Consider the following 19,976-nt stretch of genomic DNA (forward strand, 5'->3'; position numbering starts at 1 on the left):
TCCTTAAGTATGGACCAGCAGATCAGTATCACCTGGGAACTCATTAGTAATGCAAATTTTGGGGTCCTGCCCTGGACTTACTGAATTAGGATCTCCAGGATCCGCTAAGGAGTCATTGGTTTAACAAGCCCTCCAGGTGAATCTGATGAATGCTAAAGTTGGAGAGCCCCTGCCTTAAAAGAAGTGAATTTGTGGGAAGTCAAAGGAGTAATTGACTTCCAGGGAAGTCTTCTAGAAGAAATTGGCTTTTGAGGTTTGGCCCTTTAAGACTGTTAAGATTCAGACACCTGGAGAGGAGTGGCAGGCATCCCAAGAGTAAAGACAATGTGAGCAGAGACCCAAATCCAGAAAGGCACAGGGGGTCTGGAAACAGCAAGGACTTCCATGTGGCCAGTGTCCAGGATGGCTGGAGAGGAGTTGCTGGCAGTCAAATTTCAAATAATAACAACAACAACTTGTATTGATCCCCTATGGTGTGCCATGAAGATTTCTAGATGCTTTATTTACAAGAATTCCTTTATTCTATTCCCATAACCCTATTAAAGAGAAAGTGTTATTAGATGATCCCCATTTAAAGATCAAGAAACTGGCAGGGCGCTGTGGCTCATGCCTGTAATCCCAGCACTTTGGGAGGCTGAGGCAGGCGGATCACTTGAGGCCAGGAGTTTGAAACCAGCTTGGCCAACATGGAGAAACCCTGTCTCTACGAAAAATACACAATTTAGCCGGGCATGTTGATGTGCACCTGTGATCTCAGCTACTCAGGAGACTGAGGAAAGAGAATCGCTTGAACCTGGGAGGTGGAGGTTGCAGTGAGCCGAGATAGCGCCACTGCACTCCAGCCTGGGTGTCAGAGCGAGACTCCATCTCAAAAAAGGAAACAAAAAAAGAAGATGAAGAAACCAAGGCTTAGAGAAAGTAACTAAACTGTCCAAATCACACAATTTGGGTTTGAATTTTCACAGCAATAAGGATATAAGTTGAGCTTTGAGCTTGGCAGCTGCAAGCTTAGAGCTTGACTTTAGGGCAATTTGGGAGCCATCTAGGGGTGGTTGACAGGCAAAACAGACGGTTGGCAAGGAGACCAGTGCGGCAGCCATAACCCAGAAGAGAGATAATGAGAGTGAGGATTACAATTAGGGACAGGGGCATGAAAAGGAAGGGGCAGATTCCAGATAGTGCAGGGTCAGAGGAGCAGGACTTGACCAGCAATAAAATGGAAGGGACAAAGGAGAGGCTGGGGTCAAAAGTCTCCTGGGAGCTTAGTCTGGGAGGAAGCTGGAGTCATTAACTGAAGCAGAGAACAACAATAATGACAACAAATAGATCATCCTCTTCTTCATATTGGATTTTATTTATCACACACTTATATACCAGGTACTGTTCTAAGTGCTTTACATAGATCAGATCATTTAACTTTTACAACAGCCTCCAGAGGTAGTTACTATTATTCTTCCCATCTTACGGTTCAGAAAACTGAGGCACAGAGAATTTAAATAACTTGCCCAGGACCACGTAGTATAGCCTTCCTCGTCTACTCTTGCTGTAAAATAGCACTGGCATCTTGTCAGGGATTGGAATTCCTCAAAATGATTCAATTATGTTTCTTCCAAACTTGGAAACAAACAGAACTGTAGCCAAGTAAAGCAACAGGTTAATGAATCCAGTAGTTCTCAATCTTCCCCATGCACTAGTATCACCTGTGGTGCTTTACAAACTTACCAGTGCGGGGATCCCACATCCAGAGATCAGGATTGTGTTGGTCTAGGCTGATGCAGCATTTGTTGGTTTGCTCGTTTATTGTTTAAAGCTCCCCAGGTGTTTAATGTACACATAGCACTGAGTCTACTGAATAAATCAATTGACAAGCAAGCATTTGTTGCTTACCTACTAGGTGGTAAGTGCTGTGCTCCATGCAGTGGTAGATTCCAAAGGTGATCAAGATACACCCCAGCCCTCAGAATTGATATCTTCCAGGATTTGCATAAGGCTAAGGAAAAAGAAGCAATTTGGGAGCAGAGCAGAGGTGGTGAATTTAGCTAGTGACCCAGAATTAATCCTTGGAGCTTGCTAGGAGAAATAGGGAGTACTGGAGAAGAACAGTGTTTTCACTAAATAAAACAGATAAAGAAAACTCCAGAGGTTGCTGGGTAAAATTATCCCTTCACTTTGGAGGTCAACTGGTGTAGACCAATTTGTCATCCTCTGTCTCCTTTCTATGCAATAGGAACTCTGAATGGCCTGTGTATCCAGGCACAGATCAGGCCCTGGCGCCAAACCACCAATGGCAAGGCATATCTTTTTTTGGGCCAATGGGGAAAAAAGGAAAACATTTCAGCTGCTGCTAAGTCCCAGTGTCTTTATTTGAACTTCCCTGGAACAGGCAAGTTAGTGATATTTATGGCTTACAAGAATTTCCATCTTTAAGTTTATCTTCTTGTTAAAAATCAGCCATCCCTCTACCCAAAACAACTGAAGACAATAAATCAAAGCTTAAATAAGAATCAAAGACTTATCTCTCCATGTAGGAATCCCTATAGTTGCTAACATACTATATTTTACTATCAGGCATCATAAGAGGTTAAGTGATTGGGAGGCAGGGACGAGCTTCCCTTCAACTGGGTGTGCAGAAGCCATGGAAATGAGACCAGACGTTGTCCAAACTAAGGGAGGAAGAGCTGGGCTAGCATTTTCCAATGAATTCCAGCACCTCATGCCACACTTACCTCTCCCAAATGACGCACACTGTGCTGTTGTTATTCTTAACTGATTCTGCCAATTGATGACTACACTCTCCAATCTGGTTCCTTTCCCTTTTGCAGAAACAGTGGTGTCAAAACAAGCCTGTCTCATTTCTGAATACTGAACGGATGTACCATTCTATCACTGTCAGCGAGGGAATGACAGCGGAGTTTGGCAGCAGCCTTAAGCCAGTGCCATAAGCTGCTGATATTGTAGCAAAATGTAAAAGAGGTACTATTTGGTGCCCACTGGCCTGCTCTGTGCTCTTGTTGTCCACACCTGTGTTCAAGTGCAGTGTTAGTGACAGGTCCAGACAGTGGCCATTCTACCCTAACACCCAAGTTGTTCCCATGGCCCACCTACCACGCATTGCCCGAGTTGGGGGTGACATTTACTTACTGCTCAAAAGCAGCCTTTTTCACAGATACAGTAGAAGGGGCCCATGGAAGTAGGCCTTTTACTACCAAACATGTTTACTGATCAAGTTACCACATTGTCCAAAAATTTTCTTTTCTGAAGAATTTCTGAACATATTTTTTCTGAAAAATCTTGATCAGTGTTTTCTTTTGGAAAAACGTGGGAGGACTGCTCACTCCCTCAGAACTTCTCTTTTAAAATGCAGTTAATCTTTGGAATTTAAGTTCTACATCTTAATGCACTTTTATTATTTATTCCCCATCACACAGAAAGTTTTCCAGGAGTAATAACATATATACAGAGACTATAGAATTTAAAACATACAAATCATGGTCATGGAAATGCTTTGTTCTCAAATGCAATCCCATATGGGCAGATAGGGTCCTAATCTCCCTAGTAGTGAAAATGGCTACCCGGCAAAGACAGGGAATCAACTTAAATGCCCATAAATGACAGATTGGATAAAGAAAATGTGGTACATACATACCATGGAATACTGCGCAGCCATAAAAAAGAACAAGATCATGTCTTTTGTGGGAACATGGATGGACCTAGAGGCTATCATCCTTAGCAAACTAATGCAGGAACAGAAAACCAAATACTACATCTTCTCACTTATAAGTGAGAGCTAAATGATGAGAACTTATGAACACAAAGAAGGAAACAGTAGACACTGGGGTCTACTTGAGGGTGGAGAGTGGGAGGAGGGAGAGGAGCAGAAAAAATAACTATTGGGTACTGGGCTTAATATCTGGGTGATGAAATAATCTGTACAACAAACGCCTATGACACTAGTTTCCCTATAAAACAAACCTGCACATGTACCCCCAAACCTAAAATAAAAATTAAAAAATAAAAATTAAAAAAATAAAGTTGTAAAATCCAGAAAAGAAAAAAAGAAAATGCTGCCTTCCTAAGAGTGCTTTTGCTTTCCATGAGGAAGGCCGGGGAAAGGAGACAGGAGGGAAACAGGCTGTCATCAGCAAAAGTTTCCTCCAGAGGAAGCAAAGCCTGACCTCAGGATTTCTTCCTGTCATAAGGGGGGTGCATACTGCTTTTGTCCTCCATGGTTCAAAGAGAAATCTATCTTATTCTTTTCCTCTGAAAAAAATTTTCTCCCACTCCCTCCTCCTTTTCTTGAAAAATTTAAAAGATACAGAAAAGTTAAACTCTCACATTCATACTTCCCAGAGTTAACAACTGTTAACATCTGGTCATATTTTCCTCCAGTTTTTTTTTTTAAGAAATAATATGTTTCAGATTCCAAACCTAATCCCCTCTAACCAGCCTACTCTCCTATACCCAAGAGAAGCCACTTTCATGAGCAGATGTGGGTCCTTCCAATCCATTAAAATATAGACATTGTATACAATCAGGTATGCCACAATAAATAGCATTGCTTTCTGTATGTGCAGTGTTTCATTATTTACATAAGTGGCATCATTCTTGATAGTTACTACAACTTGCTTTTTTTATTTCTTCTTAACATAGGGTGTTTGGTGATCTATCCATATTGAGCTATGTAGATCTAGTTCTTTCCCTTTCTTGTGTATATATCACATTTCCAATCCACTATTGATGAATGTTTAGGCTCTTTCCAGTTTCTTACTATTTTCTACAATGGTGCAATAAACATTCTTATACTTGTCTCTTTGTATAAACATCTAAGTATTTATGTAGAAAATATACACAGTAGTGGAATCCATGGGGCTAGGATATATTTCTAGTTTGCTTAAGTGCTGCCAAAAGACTCCCTAGTGACTGTTACGTGCCAACATAAGATGATGGAACTATTTCCCCCACATGCTGGCCAAAGCTTGATGTTCTTGGACACTAAATTCATTTCCAATTTGATGGTTAAACAACGATGCCTAAGTATTGGTTTTATTTCTCATTTCCATGCCTATTAATAAGTGTAACTACCTTTTGCAGGTTTATTGGCGTAACAATTTTCTTTCATCACATCCTTTGCTTATTTTTCTGTTAGATTATTTGTATTTTTATTACCAGTTTGTAAAGGTTCTACCTGTATCCTGGGTAGTAACTTTTGCATATTATATACGCTGAAAATGTCTTCTTTTCTTATTTTTGAATTGGAAATATATGCATATGATACGAACTTAAAGAGTTACAAAAGTGCACAGTGAAAAGTTCCCCTTTCACATCTACTCCTCTTCCACCATTCGGTTTCCCTTCTTAGACAAAAACCAGTGCTGTGGTACACCCTTCCAAAGAGTTCTACACATATACAAAAAATAGTCTATATGTTCCTCTACAGTTTTTAAAATAAATTTAAAAGATTCATTCTGCATATTGCTTTTTTCACTTAAAAATATTTTAGACATCATTCTGTAAGCTCCATTCAGCTTATATGGAGCTACTTCTTTTTCTTTCTTTTTATTTTAATGGCTACAAAGTCTTCTTTTTCTATTTATGGACCAGAATTTATTCAACTAGATTACTACTGATTGACACTTCCAATTTTGCGTTATTAAAAATTTGCTTCTTACCAGAGGCTGGGAAGGGTAGTAGGGGGATGGGAGGGGAGGTAGGGACAGTTAGTGGGTACAAAAAAAAATAGGAAGCATGAAAAAGTCCTGCTATTTGATAGCACAACAGGGTGATGATAGTCAATAACAATTTAATTGTACATTTAAAAATAACTAAAACAGTATAATTGGATTGTTTGTAACACAAAGGATGAATGCTTGAGGGGACAGACACCCCATTCTCCATGACGTGATTATAATGCATTGTATGCATGTATTAAAACATCTCATCTACCCCATAAACATATAAACCTACCATGTACCCCAAAAATTAAAAATAAAAATTTTTAAATAAAAACAATTGTGATTCAGTGACAATTCATATTATTTCATACATGTACAAATATCTGAAGGATAAATTCATAAAGAGAACTAAAGACTAAGTGCCTTTTTAAAAAAATAGATTTTGCCACATTGTCCTCTGTAGAGTCTGTACCAATTTATACTCCCATCAGCAATGTATGTGTCACTTGTCTTTTAAAAAGGTTAATATAATAATAACAGATAACATTTATTTTGTGTTTATAATAGGTCAGGCATGTTTCTAAATCCACGACTTGTATTTTACAGAAATCATTATGGAAAATGTCAAACATGAGTAAAATAAACTAAAATAATATAGTGAACTCACGTATACCCTCCCTCAGCTTTACTAATTAAGAATATATGGCAAATCTCCTTTCATCTGTACACCCACCCCCACTCCCTTCCCCACAAACCTGCTGGATTAAAGCAAATGCCAGGCACTGTAAAATTTTAATCATGAATACTTCAGTAGTTCCTCTAAAAAACACAAATCTTTAAAAATTATCACAATATCATTATTATGCCTTGAACGTTAACTATTTCTTACAATTTCTTAATAACCAGTCAGTATTCAAATTTCCCCAGCTGACCCACAAACATTCTTTCACACTGGGTTTCTCTGAATTAGAATCCAAAGGATGTCCCTGTGTTTTATTTGGTCACTGTGCCTCTTAAGTCTCTTTTTGTCCCTAACAACACTCATCCCTTTTGTTTTCTCACCATTTATTTATTAAAGCAAAAAAGCATCATATGTCTTACTCAATTGTCTTAACCTTGTTTGTAATGGGGTCGAGGATTTGTTTGGTTTTGTTTGCCATAAAAGGGGTGAAATTTTGCTACTGTCAGATTTCAGTACCTTTTCCTCCACGGTATGTGTATTTTGTATCTTGTTAAAGAAAGCTTTCCCTACCCCAAGGATACTTATGCATTTTTTTCTCACAGGTATAAAATTACATTATTTACATTTTGGACCTTTACTCTATCTGGAGTCTATGTTTGTATATGATATAAGATAGAAATCTCATTTTATTTTTTCTCTGGTATACAGCCATTCTCTACCCTTTCTTCATTGGTTTGCAATGTTGTCTCTGACACAAGCTAAATTTTTCACATATACCTGGCTCTGTTTACAAGCTCTCTCTGCTGTTTGATTAATCTACATATCTGATCCTACTCCAATACCACACTGTTTTAATAACTATAGCTTTTTAATATGTCAACATGTTGTTAGCACAGATTTGCTTAAAATTTTTTAAGTACAATAAAATCAAGACCTTTAGAGCCCTCCAATGTTCAAGCAATGATGAACTTTGATTTTAGGGAAAAAAATGACATTTGGCAGACTGTTGAAACTGAGATGGGAATCTGTGTTGTCCTAATAAATAAAACATAAAAGCTAGATTTACTTTATTTGGAAAAGTTGTATGCAGTTCTTCTACAAGTACAGGACTTTTATGATGACTTCTCAGATCAACAAAGGATTTGCTCTTTTCCTTCCCTTCTTCTTTCTTCAGCCTTCTCCATATCAGCGTGGGCAGGGAGAAGTGGAGGCTGAAAACTCATGAATCCAGGAGTTAGGTGAGGGTGAACATTCAAATCCTTGCTTTACAGATTAAGAATAAGAGGCCCCAGAAGTGGGAGATGGACAAACCACAAATCTCAGGACTCTTGTTATTTGTGTCCTGCTAACTACTAAATTTTGTAGATTTAAATGCCCCAAAGAGCCAATAGCTGACTGGTCATGGTTAATTCATCAAACATGTACTGCTTGATCAATCTGGAAAACCTGGGAGGAATGGCTGCAGCCAATGTACTGATCAGCTCTCAAATGAGAGATGAGTATTTTTGCTGCAAAGGAAAAAAACACACAGAGCTCCAGAGACAGACCTGTCCCATTTTCCCGAGGCTGATCAAGGAAACTACTTCTACCATATCTCAGTATGAGGACAACTCCACGAAAGCAAACACAACATTCTTTACTCCAAGGCTTCAAAGATCTTTGCCCATCTTCATAAGGCTGACTAAATACATTTTGATGGTAAAGTATGAAGAGGTCTAGACCCAGAGAAAATACACTTGGTGAAAATTAGTTAGGGGTGCTGCATAGCATATGAAATGTGTTTTGATACATTGTGCAGAGAAAAAGACCTGCTCGAGTTTTTCAGTCTCTAATTTGACAAAGTCCAAAAGATAGTAGATTTCATAGCCAAGATGGGTAAAGGAGATGCTGTCTCTTTGGAGACATAAAAGGAGGGGTAAAAGTAGAAAATCAACTAATGTTATATTTTCTAAATGGTATACAGCAAAGAGTGATGCTGCCAACAATTCACTACAGTGGGGAAATGTAACTTTTGTTGGACACAATAAGGTCAATTAATAGGACTCTTATTTATTCATTCAACAAATATTTACTGATCCCTATTAATGCTGAGGAATCCATACTGAACAAGACATTCATGGTGCCATCATTCATGGAGTTTCCCTTCTAGAGCTGAAAAGAAAACAAGTAAAAAATAAATGACAAGCTGCAATAACTTGTATGAAGGAAGCAGGCAAAGCACTGAGACAGAAGCCAAATATGGGGAACCTATGTTATGGGTGGTCAGGGAAGGCTCATCTGAGGACCAACGCTTCTATTAAGACATATGGGAGGCCAGGCATGGTGCCTCATGCCTATAATCCCAGCACTTTGGGAGGCCAAGGCGGGTGGATCACCTGAGGTCAGGAGTTTGAGGCCAGCTTGGCCAACTGGTGAAACCCCGTCTCTACTAAAAATAAAAAAGCCGGGCATGGTGGCATGTGCCTGTAGTCCCAGCTACCCTGGAGGCTGAAGCAGGAGAATTGCTTGAACCCCAGGAGGTGGAAGTTGCAGTGATCCAAGATCGCGCCACTGCACTCCAGCCTGGGTGACAGAGTGAGACTCCATCTCAAAAACTAAAAACTAAAAATAAATAAATAAGACATGAGGGAGGCAAAGATCAAGGAGAAGAAAGTTCCTGGCAAAGCAAATGGTAAGTGAAAAGGCCCTGAATGGCAGAAGCTCAACATATTCAGGAAGCTGAAAGGGAAGCAGCAAGCCAGGGCCCTGGTGAGCTGACTGGGGGTGCAGGAGGTCAGGGATAGTGCTGGAGATGGGCCCTATATGGGTCATGCAGGGCCTTATAGGCCAAGGTAATTCATTTGCATTTTTATCCCAAAAGCAACAGTAAGCTTTGGACAGTTTTAAGCAAGAGAGTAACATGATCTTATTTGCATTTTATAAAAATCTATCTGCTGTGTGCAGAATGGATGGAAAGGTGGATATTTAAATGAGAAGAGATGGTGGCTTGGACTGGGGTGGAGAAGTGAAGAGGGAGAAAAATGGATAGATTCAAATATATTTTGAAAGTGGATTTGGCTGGGCTTGTTGGCAGACTGTATTGAGAGGATGAGGAAAGGGGTGAAATCAGATAACTCCTAGTTTCTTCGTGTGAACAACTGAATGGATGGAATTGGCTTTTACCAATACAGGAGATATTGAGAGAGAAAGGGCACAAATGGGAAGTGAAAATTAAGTGTGGTATTTAGACAAGTTCAATTTGCAGGAATATAATTATAAAATTCAGAAGTTTGGGCTGGAGATAAAAATGTGGGACTTGTTAGCATGTAAAAGACACTGAACATGGGAAGGAATGTGATTGCCAAAGGAGAGAGTTTGGAGATGGCCAAGAAGGACCAGAACCAAAAGCCTGAGGAGCATCGACGTTTGAGGTAACAAGGTGACAAGGGATAAGAAGCTCACACAATTGCCTGGGGAGAAAAAAAGAAAAAGAGTAGAGCACATTATGGTGATCAGACCATATCTGATTATGATACTCAGGAGAATATCTCAGGAAGGAAGGAGGGGTTGGCTTTACCAAATCCTGCTAGGATTCTTGAGGAGTAGGACTAAGAGAATTAAACAAGGAGAACACACCTGGGATTCTGGCTTCTAACAACCACTTTCTCAGAAGACTTCTACTCCTCTCCTTATGGCCTGTGCAGCAGAAGTTCAGGAATTTACTGTCCAGGAGGATTTGTTGGCCGAAGGACAATCACTGCCCATCTGAGGATTTCCCACTTGGAAGCAAACTCCAAAAGAGTCCATCATGGGAGGTCAGGAACTCAACACCTCTCCCCTGGATCACTGTACTGGATCCTTCCTTGCTGCCGTGATTCTGGACTTACTAGATCTGACACATTAGCTCAACATTATTTCTTAAAATATTGCTCAAAATTGGCATCACATTTTTCAGGGCAATTTGTCATCATCTATTAAAACTTAAAATGCTCATGCACTCTGACCTGGCATTTTTACCTCTATGTGTCCCTCAAGAGCTAAGATAAATGTTGAGGTATGTTCCAAAAAAAGTTTTGTTTGCCATAGTAAAAAAATTGGAACAATTTAAATGACCACCCATAGAGAGATGGTAAATATTAAAGTATAACCTGTCAATACAGTTGAATGTTACGTAGCTGCAGAAAAAACGTGTAGTCTTTCTAGATGTGTTGACATGGAAAGGCAACCATGACATCTGTGTTGGTGCATGTTGAGCATGAAATTCTCTCTCATTGCCTTCTAACAGATCTCCAGTTTTCCTTGGTCTTCACTTCCTCCCCTTGGCAGCCCATCTGACTCAGATTTTCCCAATCCACTTGTTCCCCTAGAGACCCTAAATGTGAAGACCAAATCTGTCCTTAACTCTGCAGCCAAAGAAAATTTAAAAAATCTAATCACATCACCTTCTTCTCCTTGCCCTTAGAATAAAAACCAGAATCCCATAGAAAGGTCAGCGTGGCCCTGTGTGATCTGGCCACTGACTGCCCACTCCATCACATCATCCCCCTCTTGCTTGTTCTCTAGGCTTCTGGCACACTGGCCTTCTTTCTGTTCCTTGAATGACAATGTTTCTTCCTACCACAGGACTTTTAAACATGATGTTCTCACTGCCATCATCCTTCAGACAGCCCAAATGTCACCTTCTCAGGGGAGCCTTCCAGCCAACACAAGCTAGATGAGATCTGTCTGTTTTTATTCTAAAAGCCATTTTGTCTTTTTCCCTCTTGGCCCTTCTCATGATGTGCATGCATGCACTCACTGTTTGATGATTTCTCTGTCTCACTCAACCTCAAGACCTCTGAGGGAAGGACTGTGTCCATCTTGCTCCAGATTTTAGTACCCAGCACAGTACCTGGGGTATAGTCAGTGTTCCATAAATGTTTATCAAATGAATGAATCTGAAATTATATCTTACACATAGTAGGAGCTCCACTGATAATGATTAAATGAAACTGAACTGAAAATGATGATTTGTATTTGTCCTGTTAATTTTGATCAAATCAATGTATGTGGCTTAAAGATTTAAATATAATATATTCCTCTTTCCTCCATCCAAGCCATCAGCAAATCCTATCAATTCTACTTCTTCCAAAACACATTTCCAGTCTTTCCTCTCCCCTTCATTTCCACCACAATCACCCTAGTGCAGACCACTGCCAGCTCCTATCTGGACTATTGAAATGCTTTCCAATGGGCCCCTGCCTCCACCTACATTTCTCTGTAGTCATTTTCAAGGAAACAGACAAGACACCCTTTCGAGTAAATCAGATCATGTCAAACCCTTGCTTAAAACTATCACTTCCCAACAAAACTACAAACACACTTGAGATGCAGTTCAAATTCTTTACCCTGAAATCTTTTTGACATAATCTCATAATGTTCTCAGGAACTACCTCTACACTCTAATACACTGCTCTTCCTTCTATTCTTTGTATATTATCAACCTATTTCCATCTTAGGGCCTGCACTGGCTGGTACCTTTGCTGACAGTGCCCACCAGTCTGTCATGTCCCTCTGTTGTAAATCTCCACCTGGCATTTTTCTTGTTTATCCCTTCAAGTGTCTTCTTTACTGCTGTATTCTCTGTATCTAGAGCAGTACCAGGCCCCTAAGAGGCTAATGAATTTCTGTTGGATGGATGAATGCCTTTAAAAATTCTTTACTAATTGATTTCCAGCCTGATATAGTTTAGATATTTGTTCCCTCCAAATCTCATGTTGAAATTCGATCCCCAGTTGTGGAGGTGGGACCTAATGGGAGGTGTTTAGGTCATGAGTTCTCAAGATAACGAGTTCTTGCTGTATTAGCTCCCATGAGAAGTGATTGTTAAAAAGAGCCTGAGGCACCTCCCTTCCTTCTCTTTCTCCCTCCTCCTCCTTCTCCCTCCTTCTCCACCTTCCTCCTCCTTCCTTCTCCACCTTCCTCCTCCTTCCTCCTCCTCCTCCTCTCTTGCAGTGTGATCTGCAAGAACATATGACTTCCCTTTGGCTCCACTTTGCCTTTTGCCATGAGTGAAAGCAGCCTGAGGCCCTTACCAGAAGAAGAGTCTGGTACCATGCTTCTTGTGCAGCCTGCAGAACTATGAGCCGAATAAACCTCTTTTCTTTGTAAATTACCCAGTCTCAGGTATTCCTTTACAGCAGCACAAAACAGACTAACTCACAGTCCTATTACTTCACTGAAAGTATTCTCTTTTAGCCATTTCCAGAAATGGCTTTTTTGTTCTTATCCTCTTGAACCTCCCTCCTCTTCCCCTGCTGCAAATTGGATACCTCCTTTCTTTTCTTGTTTCCTTCCTTTCCTTCTGTGAAGCCTCTCTCTCACCACCCAGCTGACTGCTCCTTCTCTCTCCCTTCTAATAGCATCTCCCATTCTCACACTTTGAAAATCCTCTGTGGTTTTTATTCCTCTCCCTCTCTTAGAAACACCATCTGTCCCAAGACTTCCAACAAAATCTCTGCAACCATGACTCAACTACCTACACCTCTTACCCCAGCCTTTCATTCACATTTCCGTCTTCTTTATTGCCCTACAATGTTTTCAAATTCCATGTGTTAAATCTTCCTCTTTCCCAGCTAGTTTTGCTTTAAAAAGTCCTCTTTAAGGTCAAAAGCACCAAGACTCATCCTTGCCCCATAACCCAGGAATTGAGTTATGATTAATTCTTGCTTCCCTTTTGGCCTAAACAGCCAAGCTCTCATCTTGGCCTTCTGTGTCTTCTCTATATTTTTCGGATTCAACACTTTTCCATTCCCATTTCAGGCCCACTCTGCTTTTACCTACAATAATGCAAACTCTCCCATCTTTGAAAATGCCCTTTTTAGCTCTGAAAACTCAGAACCACAGGATAGTAGAATTGGAAAGATTCTTTGAGGGAACCTGTCTCATTTTTTGAAATGGGAAAACTGAGTCCCAAAAAATAACTAGGATTTGCTCAATAGTGCAGCTAAGCATTCACGTTAGAGATTTTTCCACCTATCCTTCCACAATGTCTTGTCTCCAAAACATTCTTTCTAACTTGGCTTTCTTTTCTACACAGCTGCCATGTTGGTCTTCCTTAAGATGGAAATAATCCTGTTGTTTTCCTACATAAAAAAAAAAAACTTCAGGGACTTCTAATGCCTCAGTTAAGCTGAGAAGTTTACTCAGAATTGCTAGATCTACTGCTCTCAGATTTAAGCTCAAACTCCTCCACCCAGTATCTGGCATTCAGGTTTTTATAAGCTGATACCTCTCCTGCTTATAAATGGAATGGAAAGGGAATGAATGAGTAGAGTATGGAATGGAATGGAAAGGGAATGAATGAGTAGAGTATTGGCAGACAAATTTCAGAGCAGTATGAAGAGTTTTCTAAGTATTAAAATTATTCTTCAATGGCATGGATTTTCTTGGGAGCTAGTGAGCTTCCTATGAACCTCAGTGTTCAAGAACAGGCTAGACAATACTTAACAATAAATATTAGAAAGAGAGCCTCCATTATGGTGGTGGAAGCTGGTTGAGATGAGTTCAGACTCCTTACACCTCTGAGTGCTAACACCCAGTATCCTTCCTGTCTTAATTGGCTTGGGCTGCTATAACAACTAGGTGGCTTGAACAATAGAAATTTATTTCTCACCATTCTAGAGGCTGGAAAATCTAAGTTCAGAGTGCCAACATTCCTGGGTTCCAGTGAGGGTCCTCTTCTGGGTTGCAGACTGCTGACTTCTTATTGTATCCTGACATGATAGAAAAAGAGCAAGCTATCTCTGTGGCCTCTTCTTATAAGGGCTAATCCCATTCATGAGGGTCCTACCCTCCAAATACTATCACACTGGGAAATAGATTTCAACACGTGAATTTGGAGGGGACACGAATATTTAATCCATTGCACTCCCCATTCTAGCCTACTTCTGGATTCCTTTGACATGCCACTCCAAAAACATCTGAACTTCTAGCTTGCCCCATATGGCCCTCCACTTTCCTATCCTTCTATTCCTTTGTTTATGCTATTCTTGATGCCTACAATGTCTCTTTCAACCATCTCCATGAAACACATTTAAATGTCATTTCTTCTAAGACATCTTTACAGATACCTCCAATTGAGTGTCTCTGTGTCACTGTCTCTACCTCTAGCTCTGTCTTATCTCGCTCAACTCCCTTAGCATAAAATCATGTAATTATGTTGCTCAGGATAGATTGGAAGGAACATTAATGGGCATCTGGTCCAAATACCTATGATTTTATTCTCTTGCTGTCTCCTCTCCCAGGGAGTCCTGTACATCATTGCTGGGTAAATCCACATACCCTTCCTTTCATTGCATTTTTTTCTGTTAGAAAACCTCCAGAAATCCCTGCCTCAAATCTGTGCCTCTTCATCCTGCAGTCAAAGTCACCATCAGTAGCTCCCACTCCTGACTCTCTCACCAGAAGAGTCTCTCTCCTTTGATCGGACGAGCTCCATCTACTCCTTTACTCACATCCCTATTCCTTCTTCCCTGTATGTTCAGGCCATTCTCTATGCCTGAAATGCTTTACCCTTTCTTCACTTATAAGAAATGTGTTACACTCCTCTCCAGGAAGACTTTCTTAATTACGAGGGCCAATGTTTTTATTTTAAATTTCTTAATTATTACCCATACAGTAATGAAATGCCTGTCTCAATACTGATGGTGAATTGTTTTCTAGCTATTTTGAGTATTGACATTCTCTCTTCCTACTGGGAACATGAACCACCTCATCTTTCTCTTACCCACTTCCACCCACTCAGTGCATCAAGTACACAGGAAACCATAAACACTTGCTGATATTTGTTAAGCAAGTTACATCTTTATAGTGGCCATTTTATCAAACAATAGCCACAAGTGTATATTGTGGTGAGAAGCAAAACCGGATAGAAAGAAAAAAATATGTATTTGGAAGGGGAGACCACAAGGAGAAGCTGAATATTAGCAGTGAAACAAAGAGGTAATAAACCTTAGTAGTTTCCTAAAAGAGTAGGCATGATTGCTTTAATTGAAACAGAAGACACGAACACTGGAGATGTGCTCCTTTAACACCAGGAAGATGAATTAGAAAAGCTGCCCAAATATTTTTTCTTGAGTGATGTATTATGTGATGAGAAGCTTGTAATACGTTATGGTTGCACCTTTGACATATGATTTAACCCGTTGATGCAAAGTCTGGATTTCTTGGTTTGCCTCTGTCTGCCTTTAGCTATTAGAAAAGATATTCTAAAATGAGAGCAGAAATGGATCCTTATAAGGGTTTGATGTGGAGGGTGAAGTCTTTCTGCAGATTTATGCTGCGAATTTAGAGTAGCTTAGGAAGAATTGCAAAACCGAACGCTGCAATATGAAAGTTATTCCTTAGAGACAGATCACTCTGAAGTCTGGCTCCAAGTGGTCTTCCTGCTTAAGCTTCCAGGCCAAATCATGGCAGACAAATATATTGCTGGAAATTGGAGATGTGGCATTTTCACTCTTCTGAATGTTTCAGACAGGTAACTTTTACTGCAGGAAAGTCTTTCATAGTAGAACTAAGCCAAGGTGTAGACCCTCATCTTGGCCCAGGTTCAGGGAGGTGGCCAGTGTCTAACAAGGCAATCAGAGGAATTTGTAAAGGGGCTTCTGAACATTCTGACATAAACTCAGTGAATTTGGGTTGGGGTGGAGAAACAGGGTCCTCTCTCCATGGAATCCCCAGGCATGCACTTCAAAGGCAATTAGCATTGCTGATCAAGCAAACAACTTGTACCTTACTATCTTTTATAGGAGTATTTAAAACTTTTTAACAAAACACATGCCTTCTTCATGTCACTGCTATGCTGGTAGCTCTTATTTTAAATGTATTATGACTTCTAAATGCTTTTCTGCCATGCTTACATAGAGCCAACCCAGCTACATCTCATATTTGGCAAGTTTAATGAGTTTCCTCTCCTATCTCTCTCTTCCATCATTAACATTGTTCTTGAGATGTTCAAGCAGGCGTGAGCTCAGCCCAACACTCATAAACCTTGTCCTCTTCTGCCTTTTGGGTCATGCTGACCTGGTCTTGGGGTAACTACTCTGTGGTCACATCCTGTTTGCTAGTTGAGCACCCATCTAATGGTGTCTTTGCCTCTATAGCATTTCCTCCAGATTACTGATGACTACAGCACATGGGAAAGCACCAAAAGCCAGGGTACAAGGCAACCAGAGTGTATCAGCTGCTTCCCTTCAATTCACCAGGCCGACCCTAAAGTCCTAAGTCCAGACTAGCCATGAACTATTTTCTCACTGTTACCCTAGTCTCCTTAAAACTGTTCTCAAAACTATTTTTCTACTACTTTGCTGAGTTTAGAATAAATACCACCTTGCATTTGCTAGGTCTTTGAGTTCTGATTGTGGCAATTAGCTTTAGCATCCTCTTTTATGTCCTCTTATAAAAACGATCCACCACCTAGTCCATATCTCAATTTCATCTTCAATATGGCTCCAGACTCCTCCTTCCCTTTGTCTCTCCTTGTTCCAGGTTGCAGTCCTAGAATGAACACAGAGCAAAATTCAGACACTAGGCTATTTCTTTCCTGCAGTATTTTTTCCCAGCATCTGACAAGTTCATAGCCTGTCTTTCTCTCTGGGATTGTTCCTTTACAGAAATGTACATGGATTAAATAACAACAATACTCACCATCAGGTTTGAAAGGCATGGGGGATGCAAAGTGCCTGACTCAGGCTTTCCCACAAATCTGAGAAATGAATCTGGAGAATTCTGTTACTCTTTAACAGCTGTCTTTGAAAGGGAGAAGACATAGAGTGGATGTTATGGGCCCACCCAACAAAGTTGACCTCCTTGAGTCAGGTGCAAGGCCAGACAGACACACAGGAGAACAAGTTGATGGGACCTAACAACGCCATCTAAAATTTTCACCCCAGAATTTACAAACTGGGCATTTCCTTTGTTTAAAAAACTTTTGCTTTAAAGTGGGTGTTCCAATAGCATGTGGGACTCTATAGCTCAGACAGAGGGTCTAACTTTTGTCTAAAACCAGGAGTTTCATTGAGGAAAACAACAGAATAACTGATTACAGGTTATGATATTCAATGAAACCTCAAGAACACTGTAGCTTCTCAGTCCACTTGGGACTGTAATGATAAGCCCCACACTCTAAAAGATTTAACTGAGAGAAAAGGAAGTTAGCATATTTAAACCCCTTTCTTATTAACACTAACAACAATTAATTACAAACATTTATTCTGATTTATGGACACCTGCTTAGCATCAGCAACACAGACCCACCCCTCCAATTATTTAGTGATACAATGGCACATTCATTTTGCTCTGTGGAGTCAAGCCTTTTCTAATTTCCTGTGTAGCCACCTTCAGTTCTGTGTATATCTTCCTATTTTAAATTACCAACAGGCCTCAAACATATTTGCCTGGTTTTGAAAGCAGCAGGAGGTGCTTTTTGAAGTTTCTGAAATACACACACATGCATACATGCATTGCATGCATGCACTCACATGGGGCACTCAATCCAAGCACAAGGTGATAAGATCCTTTCCGTGCAAAAGTTTTCCAAGTACTTACTCACACTCAGACATACAAAACTTCTGTTTTTCTCCCTTATTTTAATGATCTATCACAATTAGATAACTTCTTATTTATAACACTATTTTTGCAGTCACGAAGAAATACAAGAAAAGTGATGACCAAAATGACTTTAGAAGTCAGCCTCGGACATTATTTTCTGCTATTAGTCCTTACCAATGTCAAGTGCAAAATTTAAATTAACAAGCACTTCCCTTATTGGAATGACTTCAGCACTTTTGCTGCCTTCCATTGATTTCTATTTACTTTGGCAGCCACAGGCAAGAAGAACATATTTCTGTGCCTGAAGAAGCACCCTAAGGCTTCACTAGGGTGTATAGATGCGAATGCCATGATGAAATGTTGCTGCGAGGTTATTCTAAAAATTAACATAACACAAGAGGAGCACTATTTATGTAGTGTTTCTACAGGCCTTACCTTCCTGTTAGCGTTGTGTTAGAGTCATCTCCTGGCTATATTTCTCATATTAACAACTGGTCTATAGTCCTTTAACCTAACAGTAAATATGCTGTCAAAGCCATTTTAATACTAAACAGCTTACCTGCAAATATGTCATATGCCAGATATTCTGGACCAGAGGTAACCTTGACCCCACACTAAGCTTGTAGGAAAAGAAGCTAATGCCTCTAAATCATGAGGTTACTGTTGGTGACAGGTGTGTATAAAGAACATTCTTCATTAGAAATACCAATAATAAATATTTCTAAGCTCCAAATTGGCTTCAAGAAGGCATGAAAATCTATAGAAGGGTTAAAATAAGCTTTGGACTCATTGTACGGTTTTTTCAATTCTTTGTAAACTGTTAGCCTCAGGTTTCTTAGAGTTGAAAAACCCATGGAATAAATACAATCAGAAGATACTCCCTTTCCTTTTTTCTCTTCTCCATTTTATCACCTGCAATAAATAGCCAATCATATTATAGCATATTCATCTATGAAAGATAGCTAGACAGAAATATGAGCTACCACATTTTTCTTGAACCCATTTCCCATATTCTGACATTTCAAACATTTGCCAACACCCAGTGGCTCCGCCAGTTTTATCAATAATATAAAAATGAAGAAAGTTAAACTAAATTAAAAACAAAAAAACTCAACTCTAGAGGACTACAGACAATATTTCTCACCCTGCTTTTAAATTAAGGCTTTGTTTGTCCAATGTCGGCCTCAACTCCTCCTTCTGGGACTGGAGGAGATACCAATAAGTGACCTTGATATGGAGGAAGAGTACCCAGACTTCTATCACCATAGCCAGACAGATTATCGTGCCTCAGTTTTCTTATAAAGACAAATGTTCCTAATAAAATCCTAAAGGGTACTATGAGAGGATGGGTACAAACCCACTTTGGGAACCAGAGCTTCCCAGCCCTACCATGGTGACTCCAGCCTTTCCTGACTCCCTGCCTAGCCTTCCACAGGTTGTGTCCACAGGATAGAATGCCCCAGAAGCCTGTTTGGTTGAAAGTTGGGTGGGGGGAGGGGCATGTTGACAGGCAAGAGGCAGTTAATTCAGCTGCAACTCAACCAGAGCACCCGAACTATCCCTCTGGGGTAGGAAGAGGGGGGCATGGGCTCCTTTAATGACCCCAGATAGTCAGGACCTCTGTTTTATGTCTTATCGCAATTACAGCGAGACCAGGCCCGGTAAGTCGAAGCAGCTGCAGGGCCACATGCACATTAACTACGGATGTGCTGCCCCTTCAGATCTCGCCTGCACAGGCACTCCCCCCACCCCCCACTGGGCCAAATCCATTTCTTTGAAGCATTATATACAAAAGCCACTTCTCGGAAATTCTGACTTACTTTTGAAAGATGCTATATACTTACTCTTCACCACTTTGAGACACTGGCTAATGATACTCATAGAAAAACATTAGCCAGTCCCCTGTATAAATGGGCTATTTCTAATGAGAAAGTTTCTACAGTAGAAAACATCTCATGGTGTCTCCTGCCATTGTGGGGTGGTTTCCTAAGCAACCTCACTAGCGTCTACCAGCAGGCATTATTCCATCAGGTCCTTGCCCTGCCTCACCTCCA

General features: G+C 40.2%; 1 long non-coding RNA gene across 13 annotated transcripts; it reads right to left on the bottom strand.

Annotated features, from left to right (window-relative positions):
• Positions 1–1,333: 1,333 nt before the first annotated feature.
• On the bottom strand, positions 1,334–19,895 carry LOC105373757 (uncharacterized). 13 transcript variants are annotated; one of them, NR_187997.1, is made up of 5 exons: positions 19,767–19,895; positions 16,702–16,869; positions 13,988–14,087; positions 1,888–1,990; positions 1,334–1,631 (listed from the first exon to the last, which is right to left on the bottom strand). It is a non-coding gene; the product is annotated as an uncharacterized LOC105373757 (long non-coding RNA). The 13 variants fall into 13 exon arrangements; NR_187996.1 differs by having other exon boundaries at positions 19,743–19,895; NR_187998.1 differs by lacking the exon at positions 13,988–14,087.
• Between the last annotated feature and the right edge of the window lie 81 nt (positions 19,896–19,976).

The sequence above is a fragment of the Homo sapiens genome, chromosome 2 (genome assembly GCF_000001405.40).
Source record: "Homo sapiens chromosome 2, GRCh38.p14 Primary Assembly".
NCBI lineage: Eukaryota > Metazoa > Chordata > Mammalia > Primates > Hominidae > Homo > Homo sapiens.